At 51.0% G+C, this 23869-nt stretch overlaps 1 protein-coding gene across 1 annotated transcript, besides 4 other annotated features; it reads right to left on the minus strand.

Annotated features, from left to right (window-relative positions):
* Positions 14068-21693, minus strand: PARS2 (prolyl-tRNA synthetase 2, mitochondrial). Its single transcript, NM_152268.4, has 2 exons — positions 21631-21693; positions 14068-16360 (listed from the first exon to the last, which is right to left on the minus strand). The coding sequence occupies exon 2, from the start codon at positions 16329-16331 to the stop codon at positions 14904-14906; it is 1428 nt and encodes a 475-aa protein (NP_689481.2). The 5' UTR covers positions 16332-16360; positions 21631-21693; the 3' UTR covers positions 14068-14903.
* Positions 21449-21568: an enhancer, noted in NCBI's record as "active region_1066". NCBI's record gives its function as "activates an Ori minimal core promoter by ATAC-STARR-seq in GM12878 lymphoblastoid cells {active_cell/tissue: GM12878}" and the evidence as "EXISTENCE:reporter gene assay evidence [ECO:0000049][PMID:35858748]".
* Positions 21449-22076: a biological region, named in NCBI's record as "H3K27ac hESC enhancer GRCh37_chr1:55229956-55230579".
* Positions 21453-22076: an enhancer, noted in NCBI's record as "H3K27ac hESC enhancer chr1:55229956-55230579 (GRCh37/hg19 assembly coordinates)". NCBI's record gives its function as "activates a minimal SCP1, AML or CMV promoter by ChIP-STARR-seq in primed H9 embryonic stem cells {active_cell/tissue: H9 hESC(primed)}" and the evidence as "EXISTENCE:reporter gene assay evidence [ECO:0000049][PMID:30033119]".
* Positions 21699-21758: a silencer, noted in NCBI's record as "silent region_922". NCBI's record gives its function as "represses an Ori minimal core promoter by ATAC-STARR-seq in GM12878 lymphoblastoid cells {active_cell/tissue: GM12878}" and the evidence as "EXISTENCE:reporter gene assay evidence [ECO:0000049][PMID:35858748]".

A 23869-nucleotide genomic window follows, 5' to 3' on the forward strand; every position in this document is an offset into this window, starting at 1 on the left:
TAATCCCGGCTACTCGGGAGGCTGAGGCAGGAGAATCACTTGAACCCGGGGGGCGGAGGTTGCAGTGAGCCAAGATCGTGCCATTGCACTCCAGCCTGGGCAACAAGAGCAAAACTCTGTCTCAAACACAAACCAAAAAAAAAGTAGACTAATTTAGAGTTTTGTGTAGTGTGCCTCACTGTCTTTGAAAGGAAATTGGCTGTGGAATATTTACAAAGAACCATGCAGCTTCCAGGTGCCGGTCCCTGTCTGTGGCTTGTGGCTAGGAAGCTGAAGTTCAGCCTCCTTCCTACTCCTGGTTTTGGCCACTTAAGGACCTGAGGACCACTTGGGGGCCTGGTTTTGGTAACTTAAGGGCCTGAGGACCGGGAGGCTGATGGACATGAGGTCCTTTGTGCACTCTCTGCTGTTAGACCTAGGAGAGACTGAGAAAGTAATTTTAGGGATTGTTAGCACATAGGGATGGGAAAAGGAGAGAACTCTGCCCCTGCTGAGACCTGATCCTGTATTCAAGTACTATTAGCCACGCGGGAGCCTGGAGTCTTGACCCTGCCCTGAGCCATCATGTGGGCCACATGACGTTGCTTCTCTGTGAACCTCTGTCAGATGGAGGGGAATGAAGGCCTGAACGTTTGCTGTGTTCTTCCTGCAGCCCTTTTTCATCCCCATCCCTGACACGGGAAACAGAGCCTGGCCCCTTATGGCCAAAACCTAGTGGGCAGTCCTTGCAGACAAGCCAGAGGGGATGGGGCCCGGAACACCACTGTGTTGTGGACACGTAAGCTCCATGGTGTGTCTGCAGCTGGGGAGAAGCCTTTGTGGCTAGAAATGGGCCTACCGTGAACCCTAGGTCAATTGGGAAAGTGGATGTCAGCCTCCTCACTGACCTCAAGCAGACAGAAGCAGTTTACATGGCCCAGCTGTGTGGCCTGGAGCAAGCTCTGTCACATTATGCGCATCTACTTGCCGTGTGTTATAGAGAGGGTTGGAGAGAGCCCTAAGACCTCCTGCAGTTCTACATTCTGGGTTTAGGAACCTTGAATGTGGATTTGGGACCTGTTCAGCACAGGAGGCTTGCCAAGGGAGCCCCCTCCCCCAGCAGGGCCAGAGGCTCGCTTGGGAGAAAGCCACGTGGGACCAGAGTGTGGAGAGGAGCATGGCCAGGTAGTACAGGCTCAGGCCATTGCAGGTGCAGCCCAGGTTGCAGAGGTGAGAGGCGATGGTAGTGGGAGCTAGCTGCAGAGTTCCTGGTAGCAAGACTTGGTAACGAGTGTAGGACTTCCTGGAGAAGGGGCCGATGTTGTGGCCTAGGCCACAGCTCTATTCATTGAGATGCATGTCACCCATGATGTCCAATGTTATCTGCCCAAACCACTGGGCATTCAACATGGCCATGGCCACACACACACACACACACACACACACACACACACACACACACACAAGATGACCGGCAAAAGCATGACAGGAGAGAAAAGGTTAGGGCACGACCCTCCTGCTATGGTCTCCCACCATGACAGGCACCTCGGGTGAGTTTTGTAACCTCTCTGAGCCCCAGAATCTTTTGCCAAATGATGTTAATAATAGTAGCTGCACTCAGTATTACAGTGAAATGCTCCTGTCTGTCCTCCATCAGGAGGCAGTGGGAGCAGCAACTCAAGACACTGCATGTGAAAAGGCTTTGCCGCAGGCTGCAGGGCGTAATTTCTTAAGAATTACGGGTATTGGGAGTACAGGCACCAGATGCAGGCCTGGTCCTCAAGGAGCTCACAGTCTTGTGGGGCAAAGGGGTCCTGCGAGTGGACAAAGATGTCGGGAGCCACACCTGGGGAGGGCAGAGGGTCCTGTTTACGACCCCTGGAATCAAGGACACCTCCAGTCCATCGGGTACCAAGGGTACTCTAACTCTTGGGCAGAACTGCCTCGCCACCCACTGCTGTGGAGGTTGTTGGATATTTCCGGCCACACCAGGCTGGGGAGACCTACTTGCTTCTGTCATTTAGTCACAAGCCTCACTGAAGCTGGCTCTGGGTCAGCTCCCACCCTGGGCCCTGCCCTTGAGGAGCTCCCAGGCCATCAGGGAGAGTGATGTGGAAACCAACCAATATGAAATGAGGGTGCACAAAGAGGGCCCAAGCCCCCTTTAGCTGAGCAGAGGTAGGAGTGACTGATCCTGATGGGGTGTGGGGGAGCTTAGAAAAGGCTTCCCAGAGGTGACCTAAACTGGAGTTCAGGGATGAAGAGGCCCAAGCTGAGCATTCCTGGCAGAGGGCTCAGCATAGGCAAGGACATGGAAGCCTTTCCTTGACCCTCTGCCCTCCCCAGGTGTGGCTCCCGACATCTTTGTCCACTCGCAGGACTTCCTACCCCTTTGCCCCACCAGACTGTGAGCTCCTTGAGGACCAGGCCTGCATCTGGTGCCTGTACTCGCAATACCCCTCAGAGCCGAGCACACAGGTACTCCAAGAATGTGGTGGTGCCTCACTGGCATGTCTGAGGACTAGTGAGTGTGATAATGCTGGAGCAAAGAAGAGATGGGCCAGTGGCAGGAGGTGCAGCCTTCCTTGATCGTGGGCCCAGGTGTTTGTTCCATACACCCTGGGCAGCCATGGATGCGTTTGGCTCAGGGAGTGGTATGCCCAGAGGGGTTTTCCAAAGCTGTGGCAGCCAGAGTACAGGCAGGGCCAGGAGGGCAAAGGGCCTGCATACCAAAGTGGCCTCCTCGTCAAGCTCCCTTGGCTGGCACATGACAAAACACCAGGTTGTAGAAGGTGTAGGCAGAGCCGATGTGGAAGCAGAAGGGGAAGATCCTGCTCTGGATGGAGCCCAGAATTCGCCAAGGTAAGCTGCTTTCCCACAAAGGCCATGGGACATGGTGCGTGCAGTATCAGTGACTAGAAGTGACTGGTGGGCCCAGGGCCCCTCTTTACCCTCCCCGCAGGGCCCATCTACATCCAGGGTCTGTGGATGCTGATAGTCCAAGGCAGTTGGAACATAATAGTTAAGAGCACGAACTCTCAAACCCAAGGGCCAGGGTTCAAAGCCCAGTTCTGCCACTTAATAGCTGTGTGACTCTGGGCAAGTTTCATAACCACCTTGTGCCTCAGTTTCCTTATATATAAGGAAATTTAATAATATATTCTCAGGATTGTTTTGAGGATTAAATGGCTGGCACCTGGCACACAGTAGGTGCTTAGTAAGCATTGGTTGTTATGGGTATCAGGCACTCTATTGCAGGGGTCCCCAACCCCTGGGCCGTGGACTGGTAGCAGTTCATGTCCTGTTAGGAACCAGGCCGCACAGCAGTTGAGTGGTGGGCAGAAAAGCATTACCACCTGAGCTCCACCTCCTATCAGGTCAGTGGCGTCATTAAATTCTCATAGGAGTGTGACCCCTGTTGTGAACTGCACACACAAGGGATCTAGGTTGCACGCTCCTTATGAGAATCTAATGCCTGATGATCTGAGGTGAAACAGTTTCATCCCAAAACCACCTTCCTCCCCCATCCTGTGGAAAAATGGTCTTCCACCAAATTGATCCCTGGTGCCAAAAAGGTTGGGGACCGCTGCTCTATAGGACAACTCTTTGCCTAGGATGCTTCTCCCCTGACTTGACCCCAGATGAGGAACTGCCATGGCTCTAAGGCCCCATGAAGGGTGGGCCTCTCCACAAGTGGACTCAGCCCTCAGGAGTCATCTCTAGAAATCCTGGATTCCAGAGGCATAGCCAGACTGAAAAGGGTCCTGCCTCTTTATTTTTATTAAAAAAATTAAAAAAAATTTTTTTTGTAGTGATGGGGTCTTGCCTGTTGCCCAGGCTGGTCTCAAACTCCTAGCGTCAAGTGATCCTCCCACCTCAGCCTCCCAAGGCATTGAGGTTACAGGCGTGAGCCACTGACCTGTCCTTCCCTGTTTTAGAGTGTCCTGGATAGAAGGCAGGAGCCCTAGGACCTGCTGACAGGGCCAGCGCCCAGGGACTGCCTAATCCTAGCAAGTCCCTGCCCTCTCTGGGCCTTGGTTTTTCTATCTAAAAACTGGGAACAATATACTAGATCCTGTAAGGCTTATTATTCCTTTTAAACAGCATGTAGCATAAGTCCTCACCAGAAAAGTAGTGTTCTAGCCCACAGACAGCATGGGTTGTGGTTTTTTTTCCTTTCTTTCTATTCCTTTGCATGAGAGACAGCATGGTTCTTGATATCCAACAGATACCGGTTTGAACTCTGGCTCTGCTACATAAAGGCTGTGTGCATGTCACTTAATCACCCTGAGCCTCAGTTTGATCATCTGTAAATCTGGGCAAAAATACTGCCAAATATGGGGGGTTAGGGAGTGCTGCAATGCCTCCAGGCGGTGCAATATATTCAGTACCTTTACTTAATGCCTGGCATGCAATAAGTAGTGCTCAACAACCCTAGGAACCCAGCCAAAGTCATGGGCTGGACAAGTCCCTTCCCTGAGACATGCCTGAAAGAAATATCACCCAGATCTGCATGCCGCAGAAGATGGCAAGGAAAACCAGATGCAGGGTCTTGATGAGTTCTGCAGGCTCCCTGTCCAAGGACACCTGCCACCAGCAATCTCTCCATAGGTACTCCTGCTGCTTTAAAGGCCCAGAATGAGCCCTAGAGCTGAATCCTCAGCCAATGGGGTGAGGGGTTGCCTCTGCCACCTAACAGCAGTCCACCCACATACCCTGGCTCTGCCCAAACCTTGGCCTCTCCAGGCTTTCCCCCCAACTGCCCACATCAACCTGATTACAGTGCCTGCAACACACCAGATGCTTCATATGTCCATGCCTTTGCTCCAGTTCCCTCTACTTGGAATGTCCTTCCCCTGCCTGGTCTACCTGCCAAAAACCTACCTATTTTCAGAGAAGTCCAAAGGGTACCTTCACTAGGACGTTTCCCCTGCCTGCTGGTAGAGCTGGCCCTCCCTGATGGACATGCACACACTCCCATCGTCACCCTCCATCTGACCTGCCCCTGTAATACTGCATGGCACCCAGATGTCCAGGTGTCTGCCTCCCCTTACAGCAGGTGAGCGCTTAGTGGGCAGGGGCCAGATAGGGATTCATTTGAGTGCCCAGCGCCTGACACATGGTGGAAGCTCCATGCGTGTGAGTGTGCTGAGTGGATGGATGGATGAACCAACGAAGGAACTAACGAATGAAAGAGTAAAATAAGCCAGTGCCCTGTTCCCAGGCCCCCACTTGCACACACGAGCATCAGCAACAGCATTCCCAGGCTCAAGCCCAACGTGACCACCTTACATCTCCTCCAGGGAGACTCTTGGCCTCCCAGCCCATGGGCTCTGCCTTCTTTGGCCCCTGCTATCCATCTATTCTGGTTGCCAGGACTTTGGACCCAGCACAGACTGGGGAGCCCTGGGTGGGGGGGAGTTGAGGTGGTACAGCTGCACCTGGCATTCTGGTTCCTGCCCACAGAAAGTGCAGGGCTTCCCTCTGCCCTGAGCCCGCAGAGGGAAGGACTAGAACTGGGCCGGGCGGGAGCCCCAGCTGTGGCTGGCTTGAGCGCAGTGCAGGAGGGTCCTGTTGCTTACGGCAGGCACAGAGCCTAGGCCCTGCTGCGGCAGCAGCGTGTTTCCAGGAGCCAGGGTGAGCCAGGTGAAGGGCCCTGGGGGCTTCCCTTTCTCCGGGGGCTGGCAGAACAAGGAGCAAGGCCAATGCTCCCTGCAGGAGATGTGGGCCTCCCCCGCCACCGTGCCCACGCCTGGGACTCTGGCAGAGCCAACCTCCCCTGCCTCATCGATGAGAACCAGGCCAAGGCACCTGCACTCACATCAGCACACCTGACCACAGGGCAGAGCCTCCTGCACCCGCCATCCCTGGAGTGGAGTGCCACCCTTCCTTCTCAGGGCCAGGGGGTCGGTGATAGAGGTGGGACCACCTGACTTCTGTCTGGTTACCTCTATGGATTTGGGGTGGCAGCTGAAGAAGTGGGCATGGGGACAAAGCCCCCTGAAATACACTGCAGGCAGGCAAGGAAAGACGCTGTTGACATTGAATTCTGGTACCGTGCTAACCACTGTACCTGGATTCTCTTATTTAATCCCAACGGCCACCTTCTCAGGTCTGTTGTCCAATTTTATAAATAAGGACATGGAGGCACACAGTCATCCCACTAATGAGTGCCAAGCCAGGAACCGAACCCAAGCACCTCACTCACTGGTTCTCATCTCATCTCACCTCACTCCAGAGCCCGCCTTCCTCCTCTTGTGTTCCCTATTCCGTTTGCTTTACGAACATTTATGTGGCACCTGCCACGAGCAGAGCATCGAGGCTGAAGTGCATCAAACAGCCTCTGCCTTCAAGGTTATGCTGTTAAATGGATGCAATAAATCGAATGGTCTGGGAACTGCTCCAGTGAAGAGAAATACAGCCACAACAAGCAAGTCTGTCATCAGCCCTGCTCTGAGCCCCCAGTGACTCTCCCTTCCCTCATCAGTGCTCTTGGTGTGGCATTCAAGGCCGTTCAGGATCTGGGCCCTCACCACCTCTACAGCTCCCACTCTCTGACCTCCTTAGCCCAGCCATCCTGAATGGTTCAGCTATGGGGCAGGAGGGTGCAGTGGCTGAGTATTGATTGGCTGTGGAGCCAGGCGCCTGCATCCCAATTCCAGCCTCAAAGCTTACTAGCTGGAGGAGGCCTTGAGCACTTTGCTTAGGCTCTCTGTGCCTCAGTTTCCTCATCTGCAACATGAGCAGGATAACAGCACCTACCTCATGCAGGTGTTATGTGGATTAAATGCATTAATCCGCATGAAGCATGTGGAACACAGCTTGCCTCAAAGTACGTGTTCAATCTATGACATTGTTATTTTCTATTCCCTAACCTTGTCATGCTCCTCTGGGCTTTGGGCCTTTGTTCATCCTATTCTCTCTTCTGGGACCATTCTTCCTTCCACTTGTTCCCCTCCTTCCACCCCCAACTGTTCCTCCCTTCACTATTTAACACGTAGCCTTCAATCAGGCCCAACTGCCTCCTTCAGGAAGCCCTCTCTGTCTGCTTATCCCACATGTCCCCATGGCACCTGCACCACAGTGCATTGTTGTTTACTTGATGGTTCCCACTCTGTAAACTGAGTCAGGGACCCTGAGCTGTGCACTTTCTAATGCCAGGGGCTACTACTGCACCTGCTCAGCACATAGTAGATGCACAACAAATTATTACTAGCTGATGATATAGAGCAAGGAGTGATTAATTCTGAACAGATCAGGGATGGAAGCCACCACATATGATGGACTTGGGTCATGAAGTTGAAGAAGGAATTGGGGGGTGGGAGGGCCTTCTGGCATATTCCAGGGGTAGTGCCTGTGCTGGCCTGGCTCAGTAATAGCAGTGGCCACCTCTTGAGCACATAGGATATGCCAGGCAACATTCTTGGTGCTTTATTTGGATCGGTTCACTTAATCCTCTCAACACCTCTAGAAGGCAGGTAGCTTTATAGCCCCATTTTACTGACAGGAAAAGTGATGTGAAGAGGTTAAGTAACTTGTCCAAAGTCAGCTAGCTAATGAAAAGTAGAGCCAGAACTTGAATTCAGGCTCTTGAAAGTAAGCCCCTCAGGAGATATCGATATTAACGAGACCAGCCCTCTGCCTTTAAGGAGTCTGCGGTAGACCCAGCTGCCCTTGCCTTGCTCAGTCCAAGCTTACGGTAAAGTCTTAGCACTCACTGTGTCATGCAGTGTCCCCATCCTGTCTGCCCGGGTAGAAGAATTCAGTCTGTGGAAACCCCTGCCAGAGCCCACCGTCGAATCCCCATAGCACCCAATACCTTGCCAATGGGGCTCCCATCACCCTATAAGCTTTTCTTGGCAAGCCTTGGCAGCAAGTGCTGCCCTGGAAAACGGGCATCCTGAGTTACCATGAACTGGTGCCACCTTTTCACTCTCCTGGCCCTACACAGTTTTGATTAGCTAAGGGCACTTAAGCTTTAACCACAGGGGCTCATTAGCAGCCTTGGGCACTGCTGGCTTGACGGGAATCCCTGCACCGGGATGGTGCTTAAAGTTGCCACCCCGTTCTGCTGGCCATAGTGCACCACCCACCTACCTTCTGTGCAAAGTACCACTTAATATACAGGCAGCTCCACTTGCCAAGCCTCTGCTGTGGGCCAGGCACTGTTATCCCCATTTTGCAGATAAGAAAGCTGAAGTGGAGGGACTATGAGGAAGTACCTTGCACAAATGTCACGGAGATAGTGAGTGGCCCAGACAGTCTGACTCCAGAGTCTGTAGCTGGGGTCACTATAAGCCTTTTATTCTAATTTTATTTTTGAGACAGGGTCTCTCTCTGTTGCCCAGGTTGGAATACAGTAGCAGGATCTTGGCTCACTGCAACCTCTGCCCTGGGCTCAAGCCATCCTCCCACCTCAGCCTCCCAAACAGCTGGTACTACATGTGCCCGCCACCACGCCCAGCTAATTTTTGTATTTTTCGTAGACACGGGGTTTTGCCATGTGGCCCAGGCTGGTCTCAAACTCTAGGATTACAGGCGTGCGCCCAGCCTCATTATTTTAAATTAAGCAAAATACCTTGACTTTTTTCAGGTGTTACTTAAGTTTGCAATAACATCATAAAAATATTTTCCCATTTTCCACGTTATAAGGAAACTTAAAAATCCTTTTCCTAACTCTAAAACAAGCCTCACATGCCCTTGGATGCGTAACAACCCATTCTAAAAAGCACTCATGCATCTTGGTGTGGAAACGGATCATGGGAACTCTGGAGACCTGGCACTCAAGTAGTTAAGGAAATGACAATTTCAACAGATTTCTGCAAAGCTCCTTTATGGATAGCCCAGCAGGTGTTTCTTCCATTAAAACACAGAATATTAACGGAGGCCTTGATTTACATTCTAAGCCTGATTTACACAATGGTTTTGTTATGCACCAGCCTTTGTCCCCAAGTATTAATTCTGCTAAATATTTCCCAGGCAGTCACTGCTAGATCTCCCCAAGGAATGAGCAATGATAATACAGCCTGTACCTGCTATTTTGCCAGCATCCCATTTCATCAATTTATGGCAAGAGGTAAAATTGGCAAGTTCAGAAATGAGACAGTAAGGTACACAGTTTGAGTATTTCTGTCTTTTCTCTAAGGAGATACAGCTATTCTGCAGGTGCCTCCTAATTCTTGCCTGTGGCATTTCCCAGGAAAGTTGTCAAGCATCTTATCAAGAAAACAAGATCCAGGTCTTGAGATAACAAAGTTAACGGCAGAACCTGAGCTCCCAGTGGGGGGATTTCCTAAGTCGTCTGGTGTAAGGGAAGTGTCTCTGAGTGCAGACTAAGGGGTAATTAAGCATTTCATATAAGTGAGCTTGGTCAACCCCCAAACCACTTACAAGGTGGGTACCATTAGCACGAGTGTCCCACCAATGGAGAATCTGAGAGGCACACAGGGCAAGTAATTTGTCTGAGGTCACATCCCCAGTAAGTGAATCTAGGATTATGTCTCTTCAAGGCTCTGATCTTTTCGCCAAATCACACTGCCCCTGGCTACTAGAAGAAACACTGGCTTCCTGATCAGGACACTTGGGTTTCATTCAGCCTGACCTTGGGCAAATTGATGTCCTCCCTGTATTTCTCTCCCTATTGTAAAATAAAGAGAATGGGCACCTGTTTCACGAACTTACACAGCTTTGGCAGCTCAAAGGTTGATCCAGCCAGTCTTCTCTTCACTCAGCAGGACCAACCAGAGAGGAGTGGCGCCTGTCCTGTCCTCGGGTGTCTTGCGAGTCAGATGACATGTGGCAGGTTCATTCCTGCTCCAGGCCCACTTCCCAGCTGAGAGCCAAGGCCAGCTTCAAGTTTACCTAAACTCTAAAGCTCCAGGATTCTATATCATCCTCAAGTCAGTCTAGGCCTTGAACATTAATCAAAAGTAAAATTAACTGGCTCTCTATTCCTGGAATCTGGTTTTTAAAAGTGCTTACATTAGGCTAACCTCCCATAAACAAGCAAGCTTATGGGGCATATATTTAAAGTTAAAAAATTATTTGGCCAAAAAATAAAAATAAAAATTTTTTAGCCAAAGTGGCACACTACTTGGGAGGCTGAATTTGAAGGATTGCTTAAGCCCAGGGGTTAAGTCCAGCCTGAACAACACAGCAAGAACTCCGCCTCTCTTTATTTTTTGAGGCAGGGTCTGGCTCTGTCGCCCAGGCTGGAGTGGAGTGGTGCCATCTCAGCTCACTGCAACCTCCACCTCCTGGGCTCAAGCGATCCTCCCACCTCAGCCTCCCAAGTAGCTGGGACTACAGGTGTGTGCCACCATGCCCGGGTTATGTTGTCCAGGCTGGTCTTGAACTCTTGGGCTCAAGTGATCTGCCGGCCTCAGCCTCCCAAAGTGCTGGGATATCAGGCTTGAGCCACTGCTCCCAGGTAAAAACGCTGTCTCTTAAAAAATATATATACATTTAAAGCACCCATTTGCATGAATCCTAATTTCTCGCATACTTTAGGCTAACTTGGTTAGAGAGATATACATAATTTAGTTTTATTTATTGAAATCACTTTTGCAGAGGCTAAGCAGTGTAGTGAGAAGGACAGTTTTTGGCCAGTGCCTGCAATCTAGCTGTGATCATAATAGCTGTGCATCCTTGGGTAAGTTGCTGAAATAGATCCTCATGCTTCCTCATCTGTAAAATGAGATAACAGCATCTGCCTTGCACAATTGTGAAATCTGAAAATGGTATATAGAAGTGCCTAACAGTGGCCAGGTGCGGTGGCTCACACCTGTAATCCCAGCACTTTGGGAGGCCGAGGCAGGAGGATCGCTTGAAGTCAGGAGTTGGAGACCAGCCTGGGCAACAAAGTGAGCGAGAGCCTGTCTCTTAAAAAAAAAAAAAAAAAAATTAGCCACCATGGGTGGTGCACACCTGTAGTCCCAAGCTACTCAGGAGGCTGAGGCAGGATTGCTTGAGCCCAGGAGTTCGAAACCTGTTGCCTGAGCAACATAGCGAGGCCCCATCCCTAAAAAATAAAAGTAAATAAAAATTTTTTCTGATGCCTGCAGGCACCACCCCATATGGGTTTTCCAGCCCACTCCAGTGTGATCTGCACCCTGGCAGGGCCTCAAGGGCCAAGGCTGCCTTGCCCTTTGGGCTGGAGATGCTTTGCCAGACTAGCCTGAGGCCTTGTCTAGACAGGGCTGGGCTGTTTGTCGTTGGAAATTGAGGCTTGGCCAGAGGCGGGAGCCCCTACAGTGCCGTGATCAGGCTGAGGCTCACCACAACAGGAGAGATGAACCCGCATCTGCCTGCCGCCCCGCTATGCTCCCTCTCCCCCGACTGGCGTCACAGTGCCCCCACCCGCGTTGCTGCCTGTGGTGTGCGTGCCCTGGGGAACACAGCCCCCGAGGGCGGGGACCTTGCTGGGGGCCCCTCAGCTTCTTTCTGTGCCTCTGAATTGCCAATACTGTCCCTGCATCTCTGAGTCTACGTGCATGCTTGCCCCCGGCGTGCCACCTGTGCGGAGCGCGTGAACCTGGTGTGTGCGTGCTGTGTGTGTGTGCGTGCGAGAGAGGGTGTGAGAGTGAGTGGCGTGCTGGGCATGAAGGATCTGTGGGGTGCTGCAGTTCCTGCAGAATGGCCCAGTGGCGAATGGTGAAGGTGTGGGTTTCAGTCCAGGCCCTCCCCCGGTAGTCAGGAGGTGCTGGTGTCCACCTCCAGGGCCCCCAAGCTACAGGGGGCACACGGACCCATCCGGTGGGTCAGGACCTGCAGGGGACCCGGAGGCTCCCACCCTCACCTCTCAGGACTCTGCCTCCACCACCCCTGTGGGCATGCACTGAAGGGTTGCCCGCAGGGTCTCCAGGCGAGGGGGACCCCACAGGGTGGGCAGCACCTTCTCCCGGCTTCCCCACAGTCCCCTGCAGCGTCCCGTCTGGCTGTTGAGCTACATGCAGTCGGGCACACCTCACACTACAAGGCTACCCCTGGGCCCATCCCTGCCCCTTCCACGGCCCCCACCTGTGGTCAGGGGTTGCCACCCCCTCAGGACCTGGTCTCGAGGCAGCCCCACTCGAGTCTTCTGGAGTCCGAGGCACGCCACTAGCCCAAAAGGGAGGGGGTGTTTGAGGGGGGCTCTGTCTCCAGACCTCAGGGAAGCTGGGCAGGCTCTAGCCAGTGGTCCTCCAGAGAGCAGCGTTGACCACCTGGACCCCTGCGCCGAGCGACAGAAGGCCCTGGTCCTGCAGGCCTGGTCTTGCCCAGCTGGGCCGCCTCAGGTGTCAGGAAGGGGATGGGTGTCCCTGGCTCCCAGGCCAGGCAGCTGCTGACCTCCAGCCCCCCACACTTGCTCACGAGGACCCCACCCCCGCAGGCCCTCCCGGGTCCTGACCAGCCTCTGATGCAGCATCTGCTTTGGCCTCTAGGCCCCCTCGCTCCCCACCCACCCCAGCCCCTTCCTCCGGTACTCACCTGGGGCCTCCATCCCAGAAGCGCAGGGCTTATTTTTCTGATTAAAGAAAACAAAAAGTGCCGTGCCACTATTTAAAAAAATTTTTTTTTAAAGTGCCTCACACCACAGTGGCATATGGCAGATCCTCAACAAATAAATGGCCAGCCCATTAAAAGCAGAGTGCGCACATCAGTCTGATAATGAACAACTGAAATTACTAAAAGAAATGCCCAGCTACAAAGTGGACCCAGAGGAGGCAGCTCTTGCACCAGGTGCTCTCAATTGACTTTGACTGCACATTACAATCAGCTGGGAAGCTTTAAACTTCCCAATGCCCAGGCCACACCCTACATGTAACCAGACCCTCTGGATGGGACCCAGGTGATTCCAATGTGCAAGGGTAAGATCCTCTGCCTTGTAATCTAGCCTTACTAGGTTTGCTCTCAGAATGCATGTCTCCTAGCCTGAAAATCTGAAGTATTCCAAAGGAATCCTGGGCCTGGAGCTCCAATGGCAGGGCTGGGAGCTGGTAGGGCTTGGCTACGCATTCATTAGAAAACCTGATGCTGTCCGGGCATGGTGGCTCAAGCCTGTAATCCCACCACTTTGGGAGGCCTAGGCAGGCAGATCACCTGAGGTCGGGAGTTGGAGACCAGCCTGACCAACACGGAGAAACCCTGTCTCTACTAAAAATACAAAATTAGCCAGGTGTGGTGGCGCATGCCTGTAATCCCAGCTACTCGGGAGGCTGAGGCAGGAGTATCGCTTGAACCTGGGAGGCAGAGGTTGTGGTGAGCCGAGACTGCGCCATTGCACTCCAGCCTGGGCAACAAGAGCAAAACTCTGTCTCAAAAAACAAAAACAAAAACAAAAACAGGAAGCCTGATGCTATGTAGAGGCAGGCAGGGTTGCTCTACCAGTAATAAGCTACCTGGAGGCTGTTTAGCAGGTGGAACCACTGGCCAAAATAAGAACTGCAGTGCACTGGGAATTAGCTCAGGGGCCTGGCCTCAGGGAGCTCACCATCAACAAGAGGCAGGACCACTGTACAATGAGCTGTGTATGCACAAAACAAGAAGGGATGTGATCTGTGCTGTGGGAGGCAGAAGGAAAACCACTATTCAGAGCTGCCAGGCAGCTTTTTAGGAGATGCTGGCTTTGAGCTTGGTCTTCACAGATTCTTGTCAGATATGGACATGCAGAGACCCTAGGGGGCCAAGGATGGAAAACTTGGTTATGTTCCTTATCTAAGATGCAGGAGCAATGAAAGTAGTTGGCATTGCTAGGGTAGTTCAAGCTTGCTCCATCTTTCCATACAATTCAGGCAGAGAGTAGCTTTTTTTTTTCTTTAAAACCAGCTTCTACATTAAGGACACAAGAGACCAGCTCTTAATATTCACCCCATCTTGGCTCTAGGATCCAACTCTGTACCTACGATAAGGTCACCGTGGCAGTTGAAGCCTGCTGCCCCGATACTTGGGGGAAGAAATGGTTTAAACCACATTTTCCTAACCACCTGATTTTTTATGTTAGGGATGGGTGTGTGGGAACAGTCAAAAAGGAAAGAAAAGGAGTAGAAAGCTGTTGCACTGTTAAAATGGCAGATGTTATCATTGTTTCAAATTAATGTGCAAGGCCCATTCCAATAGTTTGACTTTATTAAATCAATAGAACGGGATCTCAGTGGTTAAGCCGTCTTAACAGGGCCAGGTCTCTTGAGGTAGTTTTTGGGCCATCAGTTAATTACATCGACTTTCCAGGAAACAGACTATGGAGAATGAGAGGAATCAGACTGCCTGTCACACACCTCTCATGGAACCCCCTAGTGACACCTATAAGGACGTTACAGATCTAGTTCCAGACTTTACAGATCTAGTTCTATTTTCTCAAGTTACAGATGGGGAAACTGAGGCCCCAGCAGGGGGAGGGGATGTATCTAAGTCACTAGTGAGTTGGCGGCAGTCAGGTCTCTTGATTCTTTTCCCCATACTCTCAGCCCAACTTCTCAGTGGAGAGGGGCTGGCAGGCCTGCTCTCTGGATAGAATGTAGCAAAAGGCCCGTGGTCAAACTGATACGGGGTGGGGAAGGTTGGTGGGCTCTCAGCCATCAGCCATTCTCATCTTACACGTGAAAAACTCAGCTGAGAGAAGGGAAGTGACTTCCCCCCTCAGGGTAACACCCAGGACTGGAGCTTGGATCTCCTGCTTCTCAGCCTCCTAGAAGCTTCCACAATGGAATACAAAAGGAAAGGTATATGGCGGCATGGCCAGTCTGGAGAAAGGGATCAAGTTAATGACTTTAAATACAAATAATCTGAACAAATGACTAGATAAAAATTGATTTCCCTAACATGATCTCACCCTCCATGAGCTGTGCTGTTTCTGGAGAGAGCAGTCCAGGAAAGGGGTGTAGGAAAATGCAGTGTTAGAACGAACACCAAGGCTGCAAATGGGGGCAGGGGTGGGCTGGGGGCATTTAGACAGTCTGCACTGGGGTCAGTAAATCCATGACTCCATCTTTGGTGAGGAAGGCCACCTCACCAGTGTTCTGACACCAAACCTCAAAATGTGCAGGGTCCTCCAGGGCCCTCTTGCCAGCGATTATCACAAAGGGGTAGCCAAACTTGTTGGCATCTTTCAGTCTGTTTCCGATGGTCAGATGGGTCCTGTCGTCCAGGAGCACCTCCCCGTGAAGCTGAGGCACTGCCTCTGTGATGTGGTCGTACAGCTGCCCTATGAGCTCGGAGGCCGCCTGCTCCTTACTGCCCTTCTTAGGGGGGATGAGGCAGGCTTGGTAAGGGGCCAGTAGGCTGGGCCAGCGGACACAGTCTTCTGTAGAGAGGACTTCAATGGCAGCAGCCAAGATCCGTGTCACACCCAAGCCATAGCACCCCATTTCAGCCAGGGTTGGTTTGCCACAGACATTGGTAAACTGGGCATTGAAAATGGATGAGTACTTGGTACCCAGGTAAAATGTGTGCCCCACCTCAATGCCTTTGGTTTTAGTCAATGGGCCCTGGCAAGCAGGGCAGTTCATTTGTGACAAGTCTAGTGTCTCCATGTTGGCTGAGAAGCTGCAGCGGGGACAGATGGCAAGCCGGTCCTCTCCAATATCCACTGGGAGCTGGAACTCATGAGACACTGTGCCCCCGATGGTGCCCACATCGGCCTGGACCTTGACAAATGGCAGCCCTAGCTTGTTGAACAGGCTGCAGTAGGCATCACACACCAGGCTGTAGGTCTGCTGGGCAGCCTCTGGGGAGGAGTCAAAGGTGTACATATCCTTCATGTAAAACTCTCGGCCACGGAGAAGACCAAAGCGGGGCCTGGGCTCATCCCGAAACTTCCTTGTCACTTGGTACAGCAGGAAGGGAAGCTGCTTGTAGGACAGTTTCTTCTGGGAGGCAATTAAGGCCGTAATGGCTTCCTCGTGAGTTGGTCCTAAGCAGTATTCCTTGCCATGCCTGTCTCTAAGTCTTAGCAGCTCTTTGCCCATCAAGTCCCACCGGTTGGTGGCTTGCCAGAGCTCTGCCGGGCTGAGGCTGGGCATGTTGACTTTCTGGCCCCCGATGGCCTGCATCTCCTGGTCTATCACTCGCACGAGCTTCTCCATGGCACGGACGGTATATGGCAGGAGGTGGTAACAGCCGGGGCTTGCTGGGTAGATCAGGCCCACCTGCAGCATCAGCCGCTGGCTCTTACAGGTCAGGTCATCAGATTTGTCCTGCAGGGAGAGCACCCGGTCTTCCCGAAGGTTCTGTGGCTGGAACACACGAGACAGCAGCAGGCGCCGCCCTCTTCTTGGGGCACAGTGGTGAAACCTGCAAGGAACATACCCAGAGAGCTGGCGGCTGCAGGTGGCCAGGGCGGGCAATGCTCTGCATCTTGTCAGCAGCCCTTCCATGACACCCTGGCACCGGGAAGCACAGGCACCTGAGGAAAAATGAGTTGTGTGAGAATGAGCCTCATCCGTGTTCCAACACCATGAAGCAGCCAACCCAGCCTGCTCTCAACAAACTTCGAAGGCAGCCACTGATTTTGCAGATACAAATCCTTCCATTTCTAATATCCTAGCAGATCAAAGCACTATTTCTCTAACCTCTTACTTCCGTTTTTGAAAAATCAATATTTTCCTGATTATAAAAACATTAACAACATCCTGTGGAGAGACAGCGTCATGTAGTGAGTGCACAGGCTCTGGAATCAGGCAGCCTGGATTCCAGTCAGGCCTCCCAATGGCTGCACCCTGTGTAGCTGGGGACATGTGTCTTAACCCCTCTGTGCTGTTTCTTCATCTGTAAAATGGTAATAACAACAGAACCTACCTTCTAGGCTTATTGTGGACACTTAGAAGAGTTATAAAAGTTCTTGGAACAGTATCTGGCATGTACTATGAGCTCAACTAATGTCTGCTATTATTATTATAGAAAACTAGGGGGGAAATCTGAAAACAAAAAAGAAAAGAAGGCTGGGCATGGTGGCTTATGTCTGTGATTCCAGCATTTTGGGAGGCCAAGATGGGCAGATCACCTGAGGTCAGGAGTTTGAGACCAGCCTGACCAACATGGCGAAACCCTGTCTCTACTAAAAACACAAAAATTAGCTGGGCATGGTGACACGCCTGTAATCCCAGCTACTTGGGAGGCTGAGGCAGGAGAATCACTTGAACCTGGGAGGTGGAGGTTGCAGTGAGCTGAGACTACGCCACTGCATTCCAGCCTGGGTAACACAGTGAGACTCTGTCTCAAAGAAAAAAAAAAAGGAAAAGAAAATCAACTGTAATCCCTCAGCCTGGAGTCAACTGCAGCTGACGTTTTGTTGCCATCTGTCTCTTGCAAACCCTGTCCTTTGCACATCCCTCTCTTGTTCCTCTACCTGCCCCCAATATTTAAATGTCATGGGCCTCTTCCCTCTTTACAGCACACACTCCCTGGACAGCCTGCATGCTGAGAGCTGACTCAAAATCTCCACCTGCCTCCTGGAGAATACATCAGGTAGGTACTTCAAAACTCTGTGTCCCAGAATGAACTCAGCATTCTCCCCGCAAACCTACTCCCCCTCCAGCACTGCCTGTCATTGTGAATAGCACCAAAAGTTGCACTTTGCCCAAACCAGAATGTGGGGTTCGCCTGCTCTGCTCCTCTCTGTGTCCCACGTTCACAGCCCTCTTGGCCCTGTCATTCCTACCTCTTCACTTGCTGTTCAATCTGTCCCTCTTCTCTCTACAGCCTCCGCCCAGGTCCAGGCCACCCTCATCTCTCACCTGGATGGTTGCAACAGCCTCCCCACTGGTCTCCTGACTTCCACTCCTGCCCTCCTTCAATCCATTCTCTATACTGCAGCCACAGGGGAGACTTCCCAAGCACAGATGCTAACAGCTTTTCTTGGTTATAACGGCCTCCTGCTACCCTTAGAATAAGGTCTAAGCTTCTGACTTTCAGGGTGTGCACAGCCCCACATAAGCTGACCCCCTTGGGCCTCATCTCACCACTGCCCCCTCTCTGATCAGGCTTTGCCACGCCCACTCTTTTTTTTTTTTGAGACGGAGTCTCGCTCTGTCACCCAGGCTGGAATGTAGTGGCGCGATCTGGGCTCACTGCAAGCTCTGCCTCCCGGGTTCACGCCATTCTCCTGCCTCAGCCTCCCGAGTAACTGGGACTACAGGCACCCGCCACCATGCCCGCTAATTTTTTTGTATCTTTAGTAGAGACGGGGTTTCACCGTGTTAGCCAGGATGGTCTCGACCTCCTGACCTCGTGATCCAACTGCCTCGGCCTCCCAAAGTGCTGGGATTACAGGTGTGAGCCACTGCGCCCGGCCCCATGCCCATTCTTAAACATACTGTCCCTTTTGCACAGAACACCCCTCTCCCCTTTTCCTGCCAACATCTAGCCGTCCTCTAGGCCTCAGGATTACCATCCTCTCCCCAGGAAGCCTTTCTTGTCCCACTCCCCATACCCCCAAAGGGCTGGCTTTTCCCGCATAGCCCACTTGTCTCCTAGGGTTCCTGCCCATTTGGCTGTCTGTCTTCTCCCTGACACTTGGCTCAGTGCAAGCAAGGACCTGTCTAGCTTGCTCACCACTGTATCTTCAGCACATGACAGGGGCTTACTAGACATTGTCCAATAGGCAAGTATGTTTCTCTGATTTTACAAAATAATCACACATTTCTAATGGCAGTACGACATTCCACTGATTACATCAAAAATCAGTAGTTGGTTTTCTCTGTTATACATAATCTACAATGAAGAGAAGGCTTTTTTTGTTATATATTTGGGAGAGGCGTTGAAGAATGGAATTACTGAATCAAAGGCTATAAATTCTTTTGAGACTTTTTATTTGTATTGCCAAATTTAGTGAGTACCTCTACTTTTCAGCACAGTCCATGCAACAAAGCTCCCGGCAGTATGCTGGGTATGGGTTGCTGATTCCCCTCAGCTCTAGGGAGCTGGGATCTCCCAGCTGGTTACCTCTAGCAGCCTCAGGTCCTCCAGCTTGTCCCCTCCAACCTCAAGCAGCCTCATTCATTTCCCCTGTGCACTGTACAAATGTTTAAAGGTGGTCAGGCACTGCCACAGAGCCCTAGTGTGGTGTTGTAGGAACGTACGGGCCATGGAGGCAAGGCACATGTGGATTCACCCCTGGCTCTATAACTTCCTTGTGATCCAACCTTACTTAGGGCAGTGGCTCCAGCCAGAAACTCATCCTTGATTCCTCCTAAAGCAAATGAGTCTGTCTCAAGGTTTCCCTTAAGTCCACCCCCTCCTTTCTGGCCCTTACTGCCTCAACATTAGGTTAGCCCCTCAATACCACTTGCTACATTACAGTTACCCAGTGGTTCTGAAATCTAATTGAGCATCAGAATCGCTGGAGGGCTTGTTTTTTTTTTTTTTTTTTTAGAGACAGAGTTCACTCTATCACCCAGGCTGGAGTGCAGTGGTGCAATGTCAGATCACTGCAACCTCCGTACCCCCAGCCTCAAGAGATTCTCTTGCCTCAGCCTCCTGAGTAGCTGGAATTACAGGCATGTGCCACCATGCCCAACTATTTTTCATATTTTTAGTACAGACAGAGTTTCACCATGTTGGCCAGGCTGGTCTCAAACTCCTTGACCTCAAGTGATCAGCCCGCCACGGCCTCCCAAAGTGCTGGGATTACAGGCGTGAGCCACCATGCCCGGTTGGGTTTGTTAAAACAGTGATTGCAGAGGCCCATCTCCAGAGCTTCTCATTTAGTAAGTTTGGGGTGTGGGCAGAGAACCTGTATTTCTAACAAGTTCCCAGGTGACACAGATGCTGCTGGTCCAGGGACCCCACTGGGAGAACCACTGCAGGGGTCTAGCTGTGTACCACCAATGACTAATGTCTTAAACTCCATGAAGACGACAGCTATGTCTATTTTATTCCAAGTTTTATCTGCAGCATTCAGCACAGTGCCTGGACACAGTGGACACTCAATAACATGTTCCTTTTTTTCTTTCTTAAAAAATAGAGATGGAGTCTTGCTATGTTGCCCAGGCTGGTCTTGAACTCCTGGCCTCATGCGATCCACCTGCCTCAGCTTCCCAAATTGCTGGGATTATAGGTGTGAGCCACTGTGCCCAGGCTCAATACATGTTCTATCAATGAATGAATGGAGTAATTCTTGAACCCTGTCAGTCCAGTCTCCGTATTAGTCTCCAGCTAAAAAGATAGCTGACCCAATCACTCCCCTGTTTACAATCCATTAACGGCTGGCTCTCATAATTTTCTCAGAATGGCACCAAAGCTCTTCACATTTTGATCCCAACACACCTCTTCCAGCTTCTTATCCTAGCATTCCCCAAGTTGCTCATTATTCTTGAAACAGACTGACCTCCCCCCAACCCCCAGCAATTCCAACTGGAATTCAAGGTTCACTTACTCCAAGAAACTTTCTCCAACCCCTCTAAACAGAGAAAGTCACCTCCTCTGTGCTCCACTGCACACACCTCTTTTTAGTATACTGTATTAGAATCATCTCCAAAAATATTTTTGAGGAACTATTGTGTGCCAGGCATTGGAAGCGAATGGTGTTTCACATACAATTTTTTTTCTTTCTGGGGGTGTGTACGGGGGCCAGGAGGGGAGGTCAGTGTCGATGTTTAACATTCTATTCCTTGATGAAATTACAAGTTTATGAAGTTTTATACATCTTTAAATTTCAGAGTCTCGCATAATGCCTACTATTTAGGCTATTATTATCTGTTGATCAAATATGTTAATAAATTAAGAGCAAAGCAAACAGGTGCAATGATATAATTATCTGGATAATTTAAACGAGAGCTTTAAACTCTTCTCCTCCACGTTTAGCATGTCTGTCCTCAGACCCCTCAGCTTATACAAACAGGAGAATAAGTAGAATTATCTCAGTTTTTCAGGAGCAATACAGTAACTAACGTATGCAACACTTCAGGCTCTGGCAAACAGCCTCTGAGACATTCAGTCGATTTTTTTGAGTACCTACTCTGTCGGGACACTGTCAGCCCTTCCAGCCCAGGCCTTTTTAAAGATTCTTTGACTCACCATTGCCCCCCAATCTAATCAGAAAAGTTGTACCTAAAGCGTTTACAACCGTACCTGATACATAATATTAAGTCTCACAAAGTGCTATTATTATTATTATTATGCCCAACTCAGAAAAGGGAGGCTCTGAAATATAAAGTCACTTGTGTCAAGCCACACAGCAAATAAGCGCAGGGTCGGGCCTGGAAGGCAAGGTCCCCGCCTCCAAATCCTACAGTTTCCATCACGAACTGTGCTACATTAAACAGCAATGGAACCCTAGGCCTAGTTCTAAGAACAAGCTCGGCCTTCACTCGCTCGGTGACCCTGGACCACTCACTTCGCCCCGGACCTCCGTTTTCTCCAACATAAAACGGGAAGGCTGGCTCAGGCAGCAGGTGGTCCCAGGGCCTTTCCAGAGCTGGCACTTCGAGAACTGTGTGACTCTCACGACGACCGAGGGAGAGACCAGGAAGTGCTGCCCTCATTTTACAACGGAGGACACGGAGACCAGGAGTATCGAAAAGTTTATGGGATTCTCGCCCGCCCCAACTCAAGGACGGGATGCAAGTGGGAAAACGGACACCAGGGTCCTAGGTCTCCGCGCCCACACCGCGTGCTCGCTTCATTTCGCTGCCCGCGCCCGTCCCTCAGGTCTGGGAGTCACCCACGTTCACCTACCGCAATCCCAGCCCACGCCTCCCGCAAGACCACCGCCGTGCCGGGCCAGCGCGCTTGCGCCTCGAGCAAGCCCGCTCCTAAGCCCCGCCTCCTGCCCTTTTCGCCAATTGCAAAGCCGCGCTCACGGAGGCGGGGCCGAGGGCAGGGGCGCTCTGGCCCCGCCCCACGCTAGGCGCGCGTGAGAGGTTTTCCGGAAGTGTAGCCAAAGAGCGAGTACCCGGCTTTCCCCAAGATCGTTGATTGGCCAGGGCAGCCTTGAGTAAATCACCGTTCCGGAAGTACTTTCTAGGAACTTGGGAGGTATAACTCTATGATGACTTGAGGGTGCTCTTCCTGCCCCTGCCAGGCCCCGCCCACTCCCCCAATAGGAGAACCACTGGCGACAGTGTAACCATGACGACACACTGGGCAGTGTAGTTTCTAATCTATCCTATGATTTTTACGGGCTTTCCATTTAAATAGTATAAAATTGTGAAACAGTTTGAGAAAGACGCCTTTATTACAGTGCCCAAGACAGTCTTTAAGACACAGATTCAAACTTCCATTCACAAAATATTTTTTGAGCTGCTACCACGTAGAAGCCACTGCTGTAGACACTGGGGACAGTGAAGTGAACCAAACAGACAAAATTAACTGCGTTCAGTGTAGCTTGTGTTCTAGAGAGGACACAGTCAATAAACCAATAGAGCGAAATTTAAGCAGGGCAGGGAATGGGAGCAAAGAACTCAGTAACCAAGATAAACAGTATTTTAATACAATTGTTTTTTTAAAAAAACAAAATGCAAAAAATCCATGGCAAACAAAATATCAAAATTTAAAAGAATCTGTCAGTCAGATGGTGATAAGGGCTATAAAGAAAAAATTAGAGAAGGAGAATGGAGTGGGGGAGTTAAGTGTTTGCAATTTTTTTCTTTGTTTTTTTGAGACGGAGTTTTGCTCTTGTCGCCCAGGCTGGAGTACAATGGCGCGTTCTCGGCTCACTGCAACCTCCTTCTCCCGGGTTTAAGCAATTCTTCTGCCTCAACCTCCCGAGTAGCTGGGATTACAGGTGCCCACCACGTCCGACTACTTTTTGTATTTTTAGTAGAGATGGGGTTTCACCATATTGGCTAGGCTAGTCTTGAACTCCTGACCTCAGGTGGTGATACACCCACCTCGGCCTCCCAAACTGTTGGGATTATAGGTGTGAGCCACCGCGCCCAGCCAAGTGTTTGCAATTTAAAATAGGAGGATCAGGAAAAACCTCATCAAGTAGGTGGCGTTTTTAGCAAAGACCAGAAGGGGGTGAGAGACAGAGCCTTGCAGGGGAAGAAATTTCCAGACACAGGAAACAAGAAATGCAAATGTCCTGAAGTGGGAACTGCATGTTATATAACTCAACCTGATAACAACTACAGTTATTGAATGCCTAAAACATACCAGACCCAATGCAAGACACTGGTGATTCCGATACTGGCCCCAAGAAGCTCTCAGTACGACAGGATCTTCCAGGAACAACTCCGTGTGATCAGTGGTGTGATAGGGGCTGAGCAAACCCCTGCGGGAGCGTGGGAAAAGAAGGCTTCACTGAGGAGGTTACCTTTGAGCTGGACCTGAAGGATGAATGGGGTCTACCCAGACAAGAATGGCAGTGGGAGTGGAGTGCCAATGTTCAGGCAGAGGGACCAGGACATTCAAAGGCACAGCTCAGGAAATGATGAGCCAGTGTGAGGGAAGCATGGGGTGTGGTGTGGTTTACATCTTTATTTCTCCCAGCTCCTCACACAGAGCTTGGCACACAGGCCAGAGCAGTGATTCTCAACCTTGACTGCATTAGAGTCATTATATGCACCCACTGCCACCCTCTGTCCCAAGATGCTGGTTGTGCAGACATTATTATTTTATAGTTCCCCAGGAAATTCTAATGTGCACCGGGGTTAGATCTGCAGCCCTAGAGGAAAGGCACTGGACAACCTAGTGGTGGAGGCGGCAGGGGTAGATGCCATGTTATTATCCTGGTCTTACAGTTGAAGAAAACACAGCTTGGGTGGAGCACACGACTGCATTTGCCTACCAGCTAGGAGGCCAGGCAGGGCTGGGGTGGACCTGAGCTCTTTTGTCTCTAAGAGCCTTGCTCAGCCTTTATAGCCCAGAGCTGTGGTAGAGGCTTTCCCCAAGGAGTGCAGTCCCAGAGGTTTCGCTGGACTGATATTTCTCACTCCTCCTCTTTGGGGGCAGGGGGCAAATAAACTTCAGAATT

Source organism: Homo sapiens, chromosome 1 (assembly GCF_000001405.40).
Source record: "Homo sapiens chromosome 1, GRCh38.p14 Primary Assembly".
Taxonomy (NCBI): Eukaryota; Metazoa; Chordata; class Mammalia; order Primates; family Hominidae; genus Homo; species Homo sapiens.

Coding starts and splice junctions, on each gene's coding strand:
- PARS2 (NM_152268.4), bottom strand. CDS start 16,331: ATGGAAGGGCTGCTGACAAGATGCAGAGCATTGCCCGCCCTGGCCACC.